Below are 20,172 nucleotides of genomic sequence, written 5' to 3' on the forward strand. Positions count from 1 at the left end.
CAACCATATATTTACATGGCTCCCTCCCTTACCTCCTTAAGGTCTTTATTCAAATGTTATCTTCTTGGCCAGGCACAGTGGCTCACGCCTGTAATCCCAGCACTTTGGAAGGCCAAGGTGGACGGATCACGAGGTCAGGACCTCATGAGGTCGAGACCATCCTGGCCAACATGGTGAAACCCCATTTCTACTAAAAATACACAAATTAGCCAGGCATGGTGATGCATGCCTGTGGCCCCAGCTACTTGGGAGGCTGAGGCAGGAGAATCGCTCGAATCCGGGAGGCGGAGGTTGCAGTGAGCTGAGATTGCGCCACTGCACTCCAGCCTGGTTTGGCAAGAGTGAGACTGTGTCTCAAAAAACAAAAAAGCAAATGTTATCTTCTCAATGCAGCCCTCTCCGCCCACCCTATCTAAGACTGCGGTATCCATCCCCACACACACGCTATATCCTCCTTCCCCTATTTATTTCTCTCCAAAACAGTCATCACCACTGTGATAGTTAATACTGAGTGTCAACTTGATTGGGCTGAAGGATGCAAAGTATTGATCCTGGGTATGTCTGTGAGGGTATTGCCAAAGGAGATTAATGTTTGAGTCAGTGGGCTGGGAAAGGTAGACCCACCCTTAATCTGGGTGGGCACCATCTAATTAGCTGCCAGTGCAGCTAGAATATGAAGCAGGCAGAAAAAATGTGAATAGACTGTCCTAGCCTCCCAGCCTACATCTTACTCCCGTTCCAGATGCATCTTGCCCTTGAACACTGGACACCAAGTTCTTCAGTTTGGGGACTTGGACTGGCTCTCCTTGCTTCTTAGTTTGCAGATGGCTTATTTTGGGACCTTGTGATTGTGTGAATTAATACTTAATAAACTCCCCTTTACATATATATATATATATATATATATATATATATATATATCTCCTATTAGTTGTGTCCCTTTAGAGAACCCTGACTAATAAAACCACTTAATATCCTATTTTATTTTTCTAGCCAGGCGTGGTGACCCACACCTGTAATCCCAGCACTTTGGGAGACTGGTCGGGGGGGTGGATCATTTGAGGTTAGGAGTTCAAGACCAGCCTGGCCAACATGATGAAACCCCATCTCTACTAAAAATTCTAAAATTAGTTAGGTGTGGTGGCATGTGCCTGTAATCCCAGCTACTAGGGAGACTGAGGCAGGAGAATCACTTGAACCTGGGAGGTGGAGGCTGCAGTGAGCAGAGATCGCACCACTGCACTCCAGCCTGGGAGACAGAGTGAGACTCTGTTTCAAAAAAAAAAAAAAAAAAACAACAACACAAAAAAGCCAGCTGATTAGCAACCTTAATTCCATCTGCTACTGTAATTCCCTGTTGGCATATCACCCAACAAATTCCTGAGTTCCAAGGATTAGGATGTGGATATCTTCAGGGAATCATTATTCTGTTACCACATCATAGAAATCTGTCCACACTAGTGGAAAAACAAAGCATATCATATATGTATACATATATGAATATATATACACACATATGTACATATATACAAATTATATGTTTAAGAGACGGAGTCTTGCTCTCTTGCCCAGGCTGCAGTTCAGTGGCACAATCATAAGTCACTGCAGCCTTGAACTCCTGGGCTTAAGTGACCCTCCTGCCTCAGCCTCCTGAGTAACTGGGATTATAGGTGCGCGCTAACATGCTTGGCTAATTTTTAAATTTTTTTTAGAGATGGGGGGGGGGTCTCACTATGTTACCCAGCCTGGTCTTGAACTCTTGGCCTCAAGCAGTCCTCTCGCCTTAGTCTCCCAAAGTGCTGAGATTGTAGGAATCAGCCATAAATGGGATTACAGGCATGAACAACCATGCCCAGCCACCTAGTGCTTTTGATTACCCAGTAAACCACACAGAATCCTCTGTTTCCAGCTGGCAGAAAAGAGAGTATGGAGAGCCTCAGGAGGGTTTTTGTTTGTTTATTTTATTTTATTTTTTTGAAATGGAATCTCTCTCTGCCACCCAGGCTGGAGTCCAGTGGCACAATCTTGGCTCACTGCAATCTCTGCCTCCCGGGTTCTGGGTTGAAGGGATTCTCTTGCCTCAGCCTCTCAAGTAGCTGGGACTACAGGCGTGCACCTCCACGCCCACCTAATTTTCATATTTTTGTAGAGATGGGGTTTTGCCATGTTGGCCAGGCTGGTCTCAAACTCCTGACCTCAGGTGATCTGCCCGCCTCAGCCTCCCAAAGTGCTGGGATTACAGGGGTGAGCCACCGTGGTTTTTAGAGGCAGCCCTCAGGAGGGTTTTTAGAGGCAGCCAGAGACTCAACAGATCACTTCTGCACACATTCCATTGGCCTGAAGTCATCAAAGGGTCTCACCTAACTGCAGGGAAGCCTGGGACATGTAGTCCAGCTTTGTACCTAGGAAACTGAGAAGCGGAGTTGGGGAACATAGCAATCTTTGCCACTGTGGGCAAGTCCCTGGCAGTCATGACACGCTCAGTGAATTAACGTGGGGTTGAGGAAATTTGGGGTGCAGCACATCAAGAAATTCACTTTTGCCCTGGGTTCTTTTTTGTTTGCTGTTAGTTTTGCTTCTTATTCTAGAGAGATGCCCTAGGTTCTAGATCACAAAAGGCTAAAATATGCAGGGCAGAGGCCATTATTATGGTGAAATAAAGACTCAAGGGCCAGAGACCAACACAGTTATTACCAACATAATTATCGCCTTCCGTATCATCATCATCAACTTTATCATTTTGGGGGTTGTTGTTTGGTTGATATTTTTCCTGCCTCTGGGCTCCAAAAGCAACTGAAACATACCTGGGCTGTCAAACCTACTAGCTGGCTGGGCACGGTGGCTCATGCCTATAATCCCAGCACTTTGGGAGGCCAAGTTGGGCCGATGACTGCAGCCTCAACCTCTGAGTCTCAAGCAATCCTCCCATCTCAGCCTCCTGAGTAGCTGTGCCACCATATGCCCGACTAATTTTTGTGTTTTTTGTAGAGATGGGGTCTCCCTGTTTCCCAAGCTGATCTCAAACTCCGGAGGGTTTTTGTTTATTTTCTTTCATTTTTTTGAGATGGAGTCTCCTGGACTCAAGTGACCCTCCTGCCTCAGCCTCCCAACGTGCTATGATTATAGCCGTGAGCCACTGTGCCCAGCTGGCACTCTTTTATTTGTATTTTTTCAAGAGGTGGAGTCTCACTCTGTTGCTCAGGCTGGAGTGCAGTGGCATGATCATGGCTCACTGCAGCCTCCAACTCCTGGACTCAAGTGATCCCCCTGCCTCAGTCTCTCAAGTAGCCCAGTAGCTGGGACTACAGAGGTGTGACACCATGCCCAGCTGATTTTAAATTTTTTTGTAGAGATGGGGTCTCACCACATTACTCAAGATGGTCTCAAACTCCTAGTCTCAAGTGATCCTCTCACCTTGGCCTCCCAAAGCACTGGGATTATAATCATGAGCCACCCTGCCTAGCCCAGTTTTGGAATTTTGATCATCTCCTCACTTTGGAACCATTAGTCCCTGGGAGAATCACACTGAAGTGTATGAACTCACAAGATGCAGTGACTTTTGAAAGTAATAGAATGATTTCTGCTGCCAATGCAACTGCGTGGTGGATGCACAAGTGGTGGTCAAAGTGAGCTCATTTGCTGTTGGGCAATCAGTATACAGGTTCGTCTTATTAGTCAACAAATTGAAATAGTGGCTACTGTGTGCTCACTTGCATGGGTGCAACAGAAAGAGATACAAGACGAATTTCTAACACTATAAACTCCCTGCCCTCAAAGAGCTTATTTTCTGGATGGCAAGGTCAGAGGCTGTATGGGGTCACACTAGGAACCAGCTCGAGCTCTGTACTCAGACCCAGAGTTGAATTCCTGCTTGCCACTTAACTTCCACAAACCTTGGTTTTTCCAATGGGGATAATAATTGCTACTTCACAAGAGCTGCTATGAAGTGAAAGTGAAAGAGTATGTATCACGGGAGGCTATCGTTAATGCTTTCAATATATCATGTTACTGATTTTTTCTAAGAGACAGGGTCTCACCGTGTTGTCCAGGCTGTGATCATAGCTCATTGCAGCTTTGAACTCCTGGGCTCAAGCAATCCTCCCACTGCAGCCTCCAGAGAGGCTGGGACTACAAATGTCCATCACCATGCCCCAATTTGTGCGTGTGTTTGTGTATAGACAGGGGTTTCAGTATGTTGCTCGGGCTGGTCTTGAACTCCTGGCTCCAAGTAATGCCCCTGCCTCGGCCTCCCAAAGTGTCAGGATTACTGGTGTGAGCTACCACTCCCAGTACCTGTTATTTAATTAATGAATTTTAAGTTCCAGGGTCCATGTGCAGGATGTGCAGGTTTGTTACATAGGTAAATGTGTGCCATGGTGATTTGCTGCACCTATCAACCCATCACCTAGGTATTAAGCCCAGCATGCATTAGCTATTCTTCCTGATGCTCTCCCTCCCCCAACAGGCCTCAGTGTGTGTTGCCTCCTCTCTGTGTCTATGTGTTCTCATTGTTCAGCTCCCACTTATAAGTGAGAACATGCAGTGTTTGGTTTTCTGTTCTTGGGTTAGTTTGCTAAGGATAATGACCTCCAGCTCCATTCATGTCCCTGCAAAGGACATGGTCTTGTTCTTTTTGTGACTGCATAGTATTCCATGGTGTATATGTACCACATTTTCTTTATCCAGTCTATCATTGATGGGCATTTGGGTTGATTCCATGTCTTTGCTATTCTGAATACTGCTGCAATGAACATTACATAAGAATTGCACATTCATTGTAGATAACACAGTAACAAAACTTTTTGTGCCTTTCCCAAGCTGTCAGTCTCTGAAATGTGACTTTACTGGAGTAGCTATAATTGTGAAAACATGTCCATATGCAAGACACTATCCAGGGCTTCAAGTTATCACAGATAAGCAAATTAAAGAGTTGGTTTTCCTCATGCGCCCGAGTGTTGGATGCAGGTGGTGGAAGACCCACTTGCAACCAAACCCCAGGAAAGTAGCCAGGAGGAGGGTGGACTGCACTGAGGAAGGAAGACTCCCTGGGAAGTGGCAGGCCACTGTTGAGATGGCACCACCATCTTAATCTGTGTATTGCATGGTTTAAACGACTGCAAGCCCCAGCCTGGGCAACACAGTAAGACCCCCATCTCTACACAAAACAGACAGGTGTGATGGCATGCGCCTGTGATCCTAGCTACTTGGGAGGCTGGGGTGAGAAGATCACTTGAGCCCAGGAAGTCGAGGCTGCAGTGAGCCATGATGGCACCACCACACTCCAGTCTGGATGAAGGAGTGAGACCCCAACTCTAAAACAAACAAAACACCAAAATAGGCTATACACCGCCATTTAAAATATTTCCCCAAATTTTTTTTTTGAAAAATTTCACACCCACAGATGTTGAAATTATAATATTAAGATACAATTACTGCCTTCACATGCAGGATTTTTGATTAAAAAAAAGAAAAACCTTGGTGGCCTCTGCTCTATGTTAATATCCAGACACCTTCTCTGTGGTTACAAGAGAAGCTTGAGTGAGGGCACTTTCTGTCCTCAGAAGTCTGTGGAATGACTTTTTGGTAGTGTTTTCTCGTCTCACTGAAACACAACATGGCAAGGTGGGTAGCACAGGATTCATTCTTATTTTGCAGCTGAGGAAACAAGCTCAGAGAGGTCAACGGACCTACTATCTGCTCTCCAGCTGGAACTGGAACTGAAGACATCTGACTTCAGTAACTCAACATTCTACTGCCACTTCCTGTCCTGGATACACAACGGGAGTAATGCCAGAGCTGCTTCTAAGAACAGGTGCGCAAAGGAAGTGTTTTAGTCTCATTCTTCTGACAATTGCCAAGGAAATACTCCTCAGGCCTTGTGTGCACAGCATTGCCAAAAGTCTGTGGTTAGGAACATACAAAACCACAATGGAGACTGGGAGTGGGAAGATGCGCGGAGAAGATACTGGGAGGTCTGTGGCTTGCCCCTGGCTTGAGTTTCACATTGAGTGCTTACACTGTCCCAGGTACTGTGCCTGGACCACAGAGCTGACAGTGGGATGGTCCAGGAGTCTGCCCGGTGGTGCTCTCATTCCAGTGGGTTCAACAGTGAGCCAGAAGCTGCCAATAAGAGAGTAGTGGACTGCATCGGGCCGACCTTAGTGTTTTGTTTGGTCCAGATAGTGTTTAGTTATTTAAGTTGCTCACTTCTAGCTTCTGTGAAGCAATTTCTGCTGGATTCCTGAATAAGTAGCAGCCACCCCCCATCCTGCAGGCAGGACACAAGCCCGCCCTCCAGCTCACTTCTGTCCCCACCTTCTACTGCCTTACACCCAGGTAACTGACCCTTCACACATTTACGGTGCCCATCTGACATTCATAGCATTTAGAGGGGGGACGAAGCCAGGTTACACAGGACCTTGCAGGCCATGGTAAGAATTTTGGATTAAGTGTTTTTAGCTAGGCACGATGGCTCACACCTGTAATCCCAGCACTTGGGGAGGCCAAGGGGGGTGGTGGATCATTTGAGGTCAGGAGTTCGAGAGCAGCCTGGCCAACATCGTGAAACCCTGTCTCTACTAAAAATACAAAAATTAGCCAGGCGTGGTGGCACATGCCTGTAATCCCAGCTACTCTGGAGGCTGAGGCAGGAGAATCGCTTGAACCTAGGAGGCGGCGGTTGCAGTGAGCCGAGATTGCGCCATTGTACTCCAGCCTGGGTGACAAGAGATTGTCAGAAAAAAAAAATTGTTTTTACTATTTTTGGTTTAGAAAAATTCTTTTGGATTTTATTCCAAGTGTGATGGGAAGCCTTGGGGGGTTTTAACTAGGGAATAATGTGATCTGGTTCACATTTTCAAAAGATCATTCTGCTATATAGAAAAGTAATGAGGCAACAGAGGAAGCAGGAAGATCCATTAGGAAGCCATATTATAGTGGCCCACTAGGTGACAGTAGCCAGGACCAGGATGGTAACAGAAAAGCTGGAGAGAAGCAACAGCCTCAGGATGTCACATGGAGTGTAACCAAAAGAACGTTCTGGTGAACAGATGACAGCTGTGGTGGTGGGACAGAAGGGATAATGAATGGGGAGTCATCAAGGATAACTCCACGGTTGTGGCTTGTTCCAACATTGAGAGGTCAGGGGCAACCAGGGGGGGTCATAGTTTTCGTGAGAGAGATCAAGAGTTTGACTTGGGATGAATAAATTTGCCTACACTCAAGCCTTCCCAGATACCTCATTTCCCTTACCTGCCACACCCACGCAGCCTTCAAATTCACAAATTTAAACTTCTCAATACCGACTCTCTTATCAAATGTACCCCTTCAACTTCAATACCCATTGCCTCTGTCCTGCTCTGGTCCTCTCTTGCCTTGACATATATAACAATAGCTATGAATAAACTAACACAAAGCACTTAATAAGGGTGTATCTCTCTCTCCCACCAGCCATCTTTGATGGCAGAAACCATGTCTTATTCGTATTTAATCCCCAGCTCATATTTATTTGGGCACAGAGTGGGCACTCAAATATCTGATGAACTTGATGAACTGAAAAGAGGTCTCCTTAAACAAGATATCATCTCCCGAAGAGAGAAGTCCCAACCATATAAAATGTATGATCAAGTCCCAGAAAACTTTGCCTTCCCAAGGAATGTGTTTCTAATTTGGTTTCAAAGCACACTGGTTCCCACTTTTACCACTTTCATGACATTGGACAATAGTACTACTCTTTTCTACTTTTCTTCCAGACCTGGGGACTTGATATTCTCTTAGCCTCATATCATCTTTGCAAGGAGTTCACAGAGAGGATTATTCTCCATCTTACAAATAGAACTGAGGCCCAGAAGGAAATCCCTTAGTGTCTTTTTGATGGAACACAGTTCTGTGATGGGAAGCTATCCCAGTCTCCCATCCTTGCAAAACTGCTGCTTAGTACTCAGGTGTTCTCTAGGTTGTTCTGGAACATTTACAAACTTCTTTGGGTGTGAGGATGTGCTGCCACAAGGCCAAAAATCACATTCTCTCTCTCTCTCCTCTCCTCTCTACCATTCTCCTCAGTGCCAGGTGGGGACAGATTCCACCCACTGGGCCTGGGAGGAAGAAAAGCACCTTGGCCACTAGTCAGGGAGGAGTCACAGCCAGCAAGAAGAGAGAGACCTAAGTAGACAAGAGTAGTTTCAATGGGAAGAAGCAGGGCCACCAGTAAGAAAACCAGGAGACTCCTTCTGAAAGGCTTCCACCTGGGAGGAAAGATGGCAGCAGTGCCATGAGGAGGCCAGATCCCTCCTCCTCAATCCTCTGCGCCGGGCCCTCCCAGAGTCACTTCTTCAGGGCACCCAGGCTCTTCAGGGTCTCTTGGGCCTGGGTCAGCTGCTGCTGCAGCCTCTGGCGGGTGCTCTCGTTGGAGGCCCGCTTCAGGTGGCCCTGCATCTCCTCCACCATGGCTCGGTGGCCAGGAGTGTTGTGAAACAGCCGCACCGCCCGGTCCCCACAGGAGGCCAGAAAGCGGCCAGTGATGTCAAAGGACAAGTTGGCGATACACTCGCCATGGACCCGCTCAAAGCACTCCTCCTTCTCGCCCCGCCGGGTATTGTAGAGATGAATACTACTGCCACTGGCCAAGGCCAAGACCTGGGCGTTGGGGGAGAGGGCCAGGCGGCACGGCGCGGCACCCGCCGCCTCTTCAAAGCGGCCTGTCTTCAGCAAGTAGGGGTCCTGCTTCTTCTTGTATTCCACATCTGTGTCCCACAGTTTCCATGTACCATCCTTGGAGACAGAAGCCATCCTGCAACACAGAAAATCACAGCTCAAGCCCCAACACACCCTGGCAGGGTAAGCACTGGCCCAACTTGAGCAGCTCCAGCTAGGAAGCTAAGTCAGCTTCCTGCCGAGGGCCAGGCACCCCACCCTCTTCAGAGCCATGGCACAAACAGACAGAAGGACCCTGGTTGTCAAGAGGGGCCAAGAGCCACTGGTCAGACATCAGAGCGGATTCACTCACCTCCGTGAGTCGTTGGAGAAAGCAAACGAGTGCACAGCCGCGGAGTGGCCCTTTAGTTCGAAGGCTCGCACCACCTCCTGGAACTCCCCCTTCTTTCCAAAGCAGACTTCCCAAACCTTCACATCTGGGGTGAAGCCACACGAGGCTACAAATCTGCCATACAACCCAGAAGCCTTTAAAACTTCATTTTCGGAGCATGTTGTTCCTGTAAAACCCCTCAATCTCTTTCCTGAGAAAGTTGATAATCCTCATATCTGGATAATATAAACCTTTAAAGAGTTATTTTGGCCGGGCGCGGTGGCTCACGCCTGTCATCCCAGCACTTTGGGAGGCCGAGGTGGGTGGATCACCTGAGGTCAGGAGTTCGAGACCAGCCTGGCCAACATGGTGAAACCTCATCTCTACTAAAAATACAAAATTAGCCAGGCGTGGTGGCGCATGCCTGTAGTCCCACCTACTGGGAAGGCTGAGGTGGGAGAATCACTTGAACCTGGTAGGTGGAGGTTGCAGTGAGCTGAGATTGAGATTGCACCACTGCACTCCAGCCTGGGCAACAGAGTGAGACTGTCTCAGAAAAAAAAAAAAAAAAAGGCCGGGTGTGGTGGCTCATACCTGTAATCCCAGCACTTTGGGAGGCCCAGGCGGGCAGCTCACCTAAGGTCCGACAGTTTGAGACCAGCCTGACCAACATGGAGAAACCTCACCTCTACTAAAAATAAAAAATTAGCTGGGCATGGTGGTGCATGCCTGTAATCCCAGCTACTTGGGGGAGGCTGAGGCAGGAGAATCGCTTGAACCCGGGAGACGGAGGTTGTGGTGAGCCAAGATCCTGCCATTGCACTCCAACCTAAGCAACAAGAGCGAAACTCCATCTCAAAAAACAAACAAACAACCACAACAAAAAAGTTCTTTTATGTATGTGACCTCAGTTTATCTTCTAGCCTTGTTCTAAGATATGTAACATCCCCGCCCAAAGGTGGCTTGGCACAGTGGCTCACGCCTGTAATTCTACCACTTTGGGAGGTCGAGGCAAGAGGATCACTTGAGGCCAGGAGTTCAGGACCAGCCTGGGCAACATAGTAAGACCCCATCTCAACAAAAAATACAAAAATTAGCCAGGTGTGGTAGTGCACGCCTGTAGTCCCAGCTACTCGGGAGGCTAAGGTGGGAGGATGGTCTGAGCCTGGGAAGTCAAGGCTACAGTGAGCTGTGATTGCGCCACTGCACTCCTGCCTGGGCGAGGGTGAAACCGTCTCAACAAACAAACAAACAAAAAACAAAAATTAGCTGAGTACAGTGGCACATGCCTATAGTCCTGACTACTCAGGAGGCTGAGCTGGGAGAATAGCTACAACCCAGGAGTTTGAGGCTGCAGTGAGCTATGATCGCACCACTGTGCTCCAGCCTGGGTGACAGAGTGAGACTAATTTTCTAAAAAACAAAAACACTGAAGATGAAGAAATAGCGACTAAGGACATGGGGCGACCTGCATGAAATCCCACTACTGCAAGTGGGGAGAGCTGAGACTTGAAGCTCGGGTTCCTGACCCCACCCCGTATGCTCTTCCCACGCGATGAAGCTGGCTCTCTGTTCTGTGCCTGCTCCCCAGCCCCAGCCTCTCGTGGTCCCAGACGCCAATACCCCTCCTTGCCCACCTGCCACAGGGAGATACAGCAGCGTGTGTGTTGTTCATCTGGTTGGTGTTGATGGTAGACAGCACTTGACCCTTCAGGCTCCAGATGAGGACAGTGGTGTCACTGGAGGCAGTCATGATAAACTTCCCTGAGCGGGAAGGGAGTGATGTGGGTCACGGGCAGTGACCTGACCAACTGTCACTCTCCAAAGACACTTACAAGGCCTCTGCTGCCCGAAGTATACATGTCTCCTCCCAGGCCAAGGGTCACTACAGATAAGGACTCTGCTGAAGACTGTGGCCCTTCCCCACCTTCCCTAGGGACCTGGTGTGGCCCAGGGACTCCAGGGGAGCACAGAGCCAGGCTGTTCAGAGCCAGGGACCCCTTGTTCCTCTCAGGTTGAGCAGAACTTTCAGGCAGCATTAACTCATTGAGGAAATAGAACTGGATCTTTCCTTCATGCTTTGGGCAGGCGCCACCCTCTGAATGCCTCTTACCTGTGTTAGCAATGCCAATGTCGATGACAGGCGCCTTGTGCTTTTTAGGGAAGTCCTCTGGGGTGGCTGTGAAGGTGTAGCCCCCATCCTCCCGCTTGGTCATCTTGAAGACACGGAGGGTGTCCCCGTTGGCCAGCCAGACGATGAAGGCTCTAGAGACAGGCAGCAGACAAGTCACGCTCTCACTGGACAAAGAGGCTCTGTGTTCCAGGTCCTGTGCTGGGTTCTCGGGGAAGTCAAGATCTCTCCTCATGCCCCACAGTCTAGCCTTAAAACTTAAGCCCCTGGTTCCAAATCTCATAAAACTCCTCAAAAGGTAAGATTCTGATAGCTTTGGCTCCTTTAGTTTCTCTCTAGGGTTTAGAAACTAAGGCTCATCTGGAAGCCAGGCCAAGGTATTTCCAGGTAGGAAGAGACCTCCCCCTGTTTCCTTGCTGTATAGCAGCCCAGATCTCCAGGGAGCCCCAGGCAGCGCGCAAACTATGTGGATGCTCTTTCTGGCACCCCAAGGGAGGCCCTGGGTCCAGGTCCCTCCTCACTACCTCAAAGCAGATATGGGAAGGCCAAAGCCTGGGACTAGGCCTCTGCAGGCAAACCTGAGGCTCCGTCTTGTCCCACCTGCAGTCAGGGCTGAAGCGCACCAGGGTGGCGTGGTCCAGCTCCACGTTGGCTCTCATGCTGCGGTGCTCTCGCTGCAGGAAGTCCTTGGTGCTCCAGATGCGGATGGTGCGATCATCTGCACAGGTAGCCAGGTATTTGCCATTGCTGCTAAAGTCCATGCAAGATATGTTCCCGCTGTGGCTCTAGGGGAAGGGTGGCAGGAAGTGTCAATAGGAGCTCCTGGGGGAGATGGGGAAGCCAAACCTGGAGCCGGGGAGATGGGGCCCTGTGGCCTGGATTAACAGCAAGCTGAGATTGGGCTGCGATGAGAGGGGACAGAATTAAGCACCCCCGCTGATTCTGATCAGAGGCAGGAGAGCCTGTAACATGCATGGAATACTCCAGAGGAAAAGCCTGTGGGGCTGAGTCTCAGGGTGCACGCTGTGCCAGGTACCCCACGTACCTTCAGAGCTGCAGCCAGGAGGCGGTGGGTGAAGTTGTGTTGTTGAGGCTTCTCCTTCCGAATCCGCTGATATTGTTTCTGCTTCTTGGATCCCGAAGATTTGTCAGGTGGAAATCCATTTGCTTTTTGGCCTATAAGGAAGGGCCATGTTGTTCTCCAGTTACTCACTGATAAGCATTTACTGCCCACCTATGATGAGCCAGGCATTGAGTGGAACAGCAGGAGATTAACCAGATATGGCCCTTGTCTTCTGGAGGAGAATGAGTGTGATATGGGCAAAAACAGAGGCTTTGGCTGGCTGGGTATGGTGGCTCATGCCTGTAATCCCAATGCTTTGGATCATTTGAGCCCAGGAGTTCGAGGCTGCAGTAAGCTATGATCACAACACTACTGCATTCCATCCTGAGTGACAGAGCAAGACCCTGTCTCAAAAAAAAACAAACAGAAAACAGAAACAAAACAGAGGCTTTGGAATCAGACCTGGGTTTGGATTCTGTCTCTACTACTGACTGACTACTGAGGAGGCTGTTTACAGTAAGTCCACAGAGCACCTTCATGTAGAGTGGAAAAGGCGCACTCTCTGGGTTGGGTGATGCTGCTGGGCGGGTACACAGCACGGCCAGTGGAGTGTGGATCCTTGGCCAGACATCCCTATGTAGGGAGTAATGTGCACAACCATCTCTAGCGGCCCTGCTTTGGGTAAGTTAGTGAATTGCTCTGGACCTTGGTTTTTTTTTTCTTTTCTTTCTTTCTTTTTTTTGGAGACAGAGTCTTGCTCTGTCGCCCAGGCTGGAGTGCAGTGGCGTGATCTCCGCTCACTGTAGCCTCTGCCTCCCAGGTTCAAGCAATTCTTGTGCCTCAGCCTTCCAAGTAGCTGGGATCATGGGCGTGCACCACCATATCCAGCTAATTTTTTTTTTTTTTTTCAGATGGAGTCTCGCTCTGTCACCCAGGCTGGAGTGCAGTGGCGTGATCTCAGCTCACTGCAAGCTCTGCCTCCCGGGTTCACGCCATTCTCCTGCCTCAGCCTCCCAAGTAGCTGGGACTACAGGCGCCCGCCACCATGCCCGGCTAATTTTTTTTTGTATTTTTAGTAGATGTGGGGTTTCACCACATTAGCCAGAATGGTCTCAATCTCCTGACCTTGTGATCCACCCGCCTCGGCCTCCCAAAGTGCTAGGATTACAGGCGTGAGCCATGGCACCTGGCCCCAATTTTTTTGTTTTTTTAGTAGAGATGGGGTTTCACCATGTGGGCCAGGCTTGTCTCCAACTCCTCACCTCAAGTGATCTGCCTGCCTTGGCCTCCCAAAGTGCTGGGATTATAGGCGTGAGCCACTGTGTCCGGCCCAGCCTTGGTTTTCTTAAAGAGAGGTTGAGAACTGGGGGCGGTGGCTCATGCCTGTGATCCCAGCATTTTGGTAGGCTGAGATGGGAGGATTGCTTGAGCTCAGGAGTTCGAGACCAGCCTGGGTAACATAGTGACACCCCATCTCTACAGAAAACTTTAATTAGCTGGGCATGGTGGTGTGCGCCTGTGGTCCCAGCTATTCGGAGGCTGAGGAGGGAAAATTGCTTGAGCCCAGGAGTTCAAATGCAGTGATCGTGCCACTGTATTCCAGCCTAGGCGACAGAGTGAGATTCTGTCTCAAAATAAATAAATAAATAAATAAATAAAAATAAGGGAGATTGAATTGGATGAGATATCTACAAAGTGACAAGCAAAAGTACCGAACACAAGCATTAAAGGCTCTATGGAGGCCGGGTGCGGTGGCTCATGCCTGTAATCCCAGCGCTTTGGGAGGCTGAGGCAGCTGCTGGATCATTTTTTTTTTTTGTTTGATACAGAGTCTCGCTCTGTTGCCTCAGTCTCGATCTCCTGACCTTGTGACCTGCCCGCTTCGGCCTCCCAAAGTGCTGGGATTACAGGCGTGAGTCACCATGCCCGGCCCGGCAGCTGGATCATCTTGATGCCCAGGAGTTCCACCAGTCTGGCCAACATGGTGAAACCCCGTCTCTACTAAAAATACAAAAATTAGCCGGGCGTGGTGGCAGGCGCCTGTAATCCCAGCTACTCAGGAGGCTGAGGCAGGAGAATCACTTGAACCCAGGAGGTAGAGGTTGCAGTAAGCCAAGATCGCACCACTGCACTCCAGTACCTGAAAGAACTCGGGGATGAGAAGTCAACATCTGTTGAGTCCTGTGCGGGGGAGTGGAGCCAGTCACTTTTGTAAAAGATACTTAATTGAGTCACAAAGCTGGCATGTGGTAAATGACTGCAGATGCTCCCCAATTCCAACAGGAAAAAAGCTCCTGGGCCCTGCAAACAAACACAGCCACAATCTGTCCTCTGCTTCCTTCTCTCCAGGCATGTCTAACAAGCCCCCCTCCTCACACTTAAGTCATACCAAATGCTGTTTGGGGACTCCTTGCCTTCTCGGGTATTGCCATTGGCAGGAATGTCTTTTTTCCTTGGCCTTCTGGCAAACTCTTCTTCTAGAACCATCCTTTGAGACCCCACACTACCTCATGTGCCCCCTATTCTCAGTAATGATTTCCCTAACAACCACCTCCCCCATAAAAGAACAGGACTCGGCCAGGCAGGGTGGCTCACGCCTGTAATCCCAGCACTTTGGGAGGCCGAGGCAGGTGGATCACAAGAGGTTAGGAGATTGAGACCATCCTGGCTAACACAGTGAAACCCCGTCTCTACTCAAAAAATACAAAAAATTAGCCGGGTGTGGTGTCGGACGCCTGTAGTCCCAGCTACTCAGGAGGCTGAGGCAGGAGAATGGCGTGAACCCAGAGGCGGAGCTTGCAGTGAGCCGAGATCCCGCCACTAGACTCCAGATTGGGCGACAGAGCAAAACTCCGTCCCCCTGCAAAAAAAAAAAAAAAAAAAATGCAGGGCTGGCCGGGCACAGTGGTTCACGCCTGTAATCTCAGCACTTTTGGAGGCCAGGACGAGTGGATCACCTGAGATCAGGCGTTCGAGACCAGCCTGACCAACGTGGCGAAACCCCGTCTACTAAATATACAAAAATTAGCCAGGCGTGGTGGTGTGTGCCTGTAGTCCCAGCTACTCGGGAGGCAGAGGCAGAAGAATCGCTTGAACCTGGCAGGCGGAAGTTGCAACGAGCCAAGATTGTGCCACTGCACTCCAGCCTGGGCAAGAAGAGCGAAACTCTGTCTGAAAAATAAATAAAAAGAGCAGGGCTGCCCACTGACTCTCTGGTGTTTCCCATTTCTAGTACTAACCTCTTCTATGAAACTTTTCAGAGACAGGCTCTTGCCGTCACCCAGGCTGAAGTACAGTGGCGCGATCTATCACAACTCACTGCAGCCTTGAATTCCTGGACTCACGACACCCTCCTGCCTCGGCCTCCCATGGAGCTGGGACTACAGGGGCGTGCACAACCACACCCAGCTAATTTTGCGTAGAGATGGGGTCTTGCTATGTTGCTCAGGCTGGTCCCAAACTCCTGGGCTCAAGCGATCTCCCTGCCTCGGCCTCCCAAAGTGCTGGGAATACAGGCGTGAGCCACTTCGCCTGGCCTCAGTGAAACTTATTTCACCGTGTTTTTCACTTACATATTTAGGTGTTCATAATACAGATGTACTTCTCCTTTACTGGACTCCTTACAGAAAAAGACCCCAAAGCCTATCACAGGGTCATAGATGCCCAGTAAATGCTGCTGCACATCACAGAATTGGTGCTTTTTCCGAGATCGCGGCCACGGAGCAGGCTGAAGAGTTTACGGTGCTCTCCTGGCCACCCCGGGGACGGCCTGGCCTCGGCCACAGAGAAAGCCGCAGTAAGGGGCCCAGGTTGGAGCCAGTCCCGCCCCAGGAGGTGCGCCTAACCCGGCAAGGCGGGTCCCCGTCTCTGGAAGCGAAGCTCACGTTACCAGAGGAGAAACTGAGGCCCATGGAGTCGCCGGGCCCCACCAGCCGCGGGCCCAAACCGCAGGTCGGACCACGAGGAGGCCGGGAGCCGGGACACCGCGGGCCGCCCCCACCCGACCCGGCCCCACTTACAGGCGGGCCGGCCGCTCCTCTCCTCCCCCGCGCGCAGCCACCCCCGCGCTACCGCCGCCGTCGCCATCAGGGCCAGCAGCCCAAGCAACACCGACAGCCCCATGAGCTCCGACATCTGCGAGAGCTCCATGTTGGTGGAACCACTGCCACCTCAGCTAGTGAGTACGCGGGCGCCCGCACGGCTCTGCCGGGCCGCGCACGCACGCGGGGGCGCGGCCTGGCCGTTGGGGAGCCTCAAGCGGCTGGGCCTGGCCGTTAGAGCGCCTGGGGGCGGAGCCTGGTTGTTACAACGCCTTCAGGGCGGGGCCTGGCCGTTAAAGCACCTCAAGGGGTGGGGCCCGGCTGTTGTGGCGCTCGAGGGGCGGGGCCTGGAGTTAGAGCATCTCCACCCGCCGAGCCTAGTTATTAGAGCGCCTCGAGAGGCAGAGTCTGGAGTTAGCGCGTCTCGAGGGGCGGGGCTGGGTTGTTAGAGCGTCTCGAGGGGCAGAACCCGGAGGTAGAGTGTCTCGAGGGGCGGGGCCTGGAAGTAGAACATCTCGAGGGGCAGGGCTCGACCCTTGGTGCGTTTCGAGGGGCGGGTCGCCTGGCGGTTGAGATTGCAGGGCTGCGGAGGGCGGAGGAAGGCGGGATTTGCGATCACTGCTCACGCCTCCTCCTGAAGAACTCACTGATAATTGTTTATTAAAGGCATTATTCCAGCCATCACCACACTGGATCCTTTCAAGGAAGCGGGGCGGGGATTATTATTACCATTTAACGGATAGGAAACTCAGCATCAGCGAAAGTTCAGATGGGCTTTTAAGGAAGAGTAGGCCAGGCGCGTGGAGTGGAACAGCCTCCGCAAAGACCTGAGAAGCTGGGATGTGGGAAATGGCTAGAGGGGCGGAAAGGTCTGGGGGACGTTGAGCGCTGGCTCCATCCAACAAGCTGCTCATTACAGGGAGAGGTGGGGCAAAAGCTGTGTCTGAGGATTCCCTGGATGGACCTTTGTGTGAAAAGACCAAAATCAGAAAACCGGCAGTGGCTTCAAGGATCCGAGAGGGAGGTGACGAGGGCCTGGATTTGGGGCTGGCCTGGCAAGTCGAAAGTTAAAAGGGAGAATTTTTAATAGAAAACTTATTTTATTTATTTATTTATGTATTTACTTTTGAGACGGTTGCCCAGGTTGGAGTGCAGTGACGCGTCTCGGCTCACTGCAACCTCCGTCTCCCGGGTGCAAGAGATTCTCCTGCCTCAGCCTCCAGAGTAGCTGGGATTACAGGCGCGTGCCACCATGCCCTGCTACTTTTTGTGTTTTTTATAGAGACGGGGGTTTTGCCATGTTGGCCAGGCTGGTCTCGAACTCCTGACCTCAGGTGATCCACCTGCTTCGGCCTCCCAAAGTGCTGGGATTACAGGCGTGAGCCACCATGCCGAGCTGGGAGATTATTTTTATTTTTTATTTTTTGAGATGGAGTCTCGTTGCACTGTCGCCCAGGCTGGAGTGCAATGGCGCCATCTCTGCTCACTGCAACCTCTGCCTCCCGGGTTCAAGCGATTCGCTTGCCTCAGCCTCCCGAGTAGCTGGGATTACGGGTGCCCGCTAGCATGCCCCGCTAATTTTTTGTATTTTTTAGTAGAGACGGGGTTTCGCTATATTGGTCAGGCTGGTCTTGAACTCCTGACCTCGTGATCCGCCCGCCTCAGCCTCTCAAAGTGCTGGGATTACAGGTGTGAGCCACCGCGACTGGCCCAGACCAGGAAATTTTTTCATAGAAAACTTATTTTTTTTTTTGAGACAGAGTCTTGCTCTATTGCCCAGGTTGGAGCGCAGTGGCGCGATCTCGGCTCACTGCAACCTCCGCCTCCTGGGTTTATGCCATTCTCCTGCCTCAGCCTCCCGAGTAGCTGGGATTACAGGCGCCCGCCACCACGCCCGGCTAATTTTTTAAAAATATTTTTAGTAGAGACGGGATTTCACCGTGTTAGCCAGGATGGTCTCGATCTCCTGACCTCATGATCTGCCCGCCTCGGCCTCCCAAAGTGCTTGGGGGATTACAGGCTTGAGCCACCGCGCCCGGCCAGAAAACTTCTTTTAAGGCCGGGTGCGGTGGCCCATGCCTGTAATCCCAGCACTTTGGGAGGCCGAGGCGGGAGGATCACCTGAGGTCAGGACTTCGAGACCAGCCTGGCCAACATGGTGAAACCCCGTCTCTGGCCAACATGGCGAAACCCCGTCTCTACCAAAAGTACAAAAATTAGCTGGGCGTGGTGTCCCACGCCTCTAATCCCAGCTACTCGGGAGGCTGAGGCAGGAGAATCACTTGAACCTGGGAGGCAGAGGTTGCAGTGAGCCAAGATTGCTCCACTGCACTCCGGCTTGGGTGATAAGAGTGAGACTCCATCTCAAAAATAAATATAAAATAAATAAAAAAAGAAAGAAAGAAGAAAACTTCTTTTAAAATAATTACAGCCGCCAGGCACAGTGGCTAAAGCCTGTGATCCCCAACACTTTGGGAGGCCAAGGTGGGAAGATTGCTTGAGCCTAGCAGTTCAAGACCAGTCTGGGCAACATAGCAAGACCCCATCTCTATAAAATAAATAAATAGGCTGGGTGTGATTGCTCACACCTGTAATCCCACCACTTTGGGAGGCCCAGATTTTAGCCCAGGAGCTTGAGCCCAGCCTGAGCAACATAGTGAAACCCCGTCTCTACCAAAAACTACAAAAATTAGACGAGCGTGGTGGCACATGCCTGTGGTCCCAGCTACTTGGGAGGCTGAGGCAGAAGGATCACTTGGACCCGGGAGGTGGTTTTGCAGTGAGCCGTGATTGCATCACTGCACTGCAGCCTGGGTGAGGGTGAGACTCCGTTTCAAAAAAAAAAAAAAAAAAGTTAAGGCTGGGCACGGTGGCTCATGCCTGTAATCCTAGCACTTTGGGAGGCTGAGGCAGGCGGACCACCTGAGGTCAGGAGTTCGAGACCAGCCTGGCTAACATGGTGAAACCCTGTCTCTACTAAAAATACAAAAATTAGCCTGGCATAGTGGTGCGCACCTGTAATCCTAGCTACTCAGGAGGCTGAGGCAGGAGAATCGCTTGAACCTGGGAGGCGGAGGTTGCAGTGAGCCAAGATTGTGCCACTGCATTCCAGCTGGGGCGACAGAGTGAGATTCCGTCTCAAAAAAAAAAAAATTAGCCAGACATGGTGACATGTGCCTATAGCCCCAGCTAACTGGCAGGCTGAGGTGGCAGAATCACCTGAGTCCGGGAGGTCGAGGCTGTAGTGAGCTGTGATCGTGCCACTGCACTGCAGCCTGAGCAACAGAGTAAGACCCTGTCTCAAAAAAAAAAAAAAAAAAAAAAAAAGATATAAAGATGCACAGTGGTTTGAAAAAGTGAACAGGGAGGTCTCATGGACTCTTCCTCTCAGTTTCCTCCAGTAGTAACATCTTGCATAACTGCAGTGTAATATCAAAACCAGGAACTTGACATTGATGCTATCTACAGAACTTATTCAAATTCCACCAACAAGGAGACAATCTGAAAGACTTATTGGTAGAATTTGGGTTGAACAGTCATGCTCCGTGGGTGTCCCAGTCCCAAAGCCCAGAGTGAGTCGAAGTACCAGAGTTGGAGATTCCTGCTGCAAACATTTCCATCCCCACCCAGGAGCCTGCCTTCCTGACAGTCCAGGCCCTTCGGCAATAAAGGACCCTCTGAGAACAGTGGCCGCTGCAGAGGCTAGATGACAGACAGACACACCCACAATCTTGGGGGAGGAAATGGATCCAGTCAGAGAGCAAATGGAGCAGCCTCATTTCCTTCCCTTTTGTCCTTTGCGGGAAACTGGCATTGACTCAGCTGTGGGCAGTGGGGTAGGGAGGGGTGCGAGGGGGTGTCTAGAGCATCCTGAGGCTTGTCCTCCCTATCTTGCTACTTAGGACTGTGGGCCCAG

General features: G+C 50.6%; 1 protein-coding gene across 12 annotated transcripts, besides 2 other annotated features; it reads right to left on the bottom strand.

Annotated features, from left to right (window-relative positions):
- On the bottom strand, positions 5,353-16,395 carry TBL2 (transducin beta like 2). Of its 12 annotated transcripts, none has more exons than NM_001362662.2 (8): positions 16,236-16,395; positions 14,357-14,517; positions 12,199-12,329; positions 11,777-11,938; positions 11,136-11,287; positions 10,660-10,786; positions 9,005-9,157; positions 5,353-8,788 (listed from the first exon to the last, which is right to left on the bottom strand). In NM_001362662.2, exons 5-8 carry the CDS (start codon positions 11,236-11,238, stop codon positions 8,323-8,325), a joined length of 849 nt encoding a protein of 282 aa, NP_001349591.1. In that variant the 5' UTR covers positions 11,239-11,287; positions 11,777-11,938; positions 12,199-12,329; positions 14,357-14,517; positions 16,236-16,395; the 3' UTR covers positions 5,353-8,322. The 12 variants fall into 12 exon arrangements, with proteins under 12 accessions (NP_001349591.1, NP_001349589.1, XP_006715986.1 ...); NM_001362660.2 differs by having other exon boundaries at positions 11,754-11,938; XM_006715923.5 differs by having other exon boundaries at positions 11,754-11,938; positions 15,789-16,395.
- Positions 16,007-16,646: a silencer, noted in NCBI's record as "silent region_18254". NCBI's record gives its function as "represses an Ori minimal core promoter by ATAC-STARR-seq in GM12878 lymphoblastoid cells {active_cell/tissue: GM12878}" and the evidence as "EXISTENCE:reporter gene assay evidence [ECO:0000049][PMID:35858748]".
- Positions 16,977-17,046: an enhancer, noted in NCBI's record as "active region_26125". NCBI's record gives its function as "activates an Ori minimal core promoter by ATAC-STARR-seq in GM12878 lymphoblastoid cells {active_cell/tissue: GM12878}" and the evidence as "EXISTENCE:reporter gene assay evidence [ECO:0000049][PMID:35858748]".

The sequence above is a fragment of the Homo sapiens genome, chromosome 7 (assembly GCF_000001405.40).
Source record: "Homo sapiens chromosome 7, GRCh38.p14 Primary Assembly".
In the NCBI taxonomy this organism is placed as follows: Eukaryota; Metazoa; Chordata; class Mammalia; order Primates; family Hominidae; genus Homo; species Homo sapiens.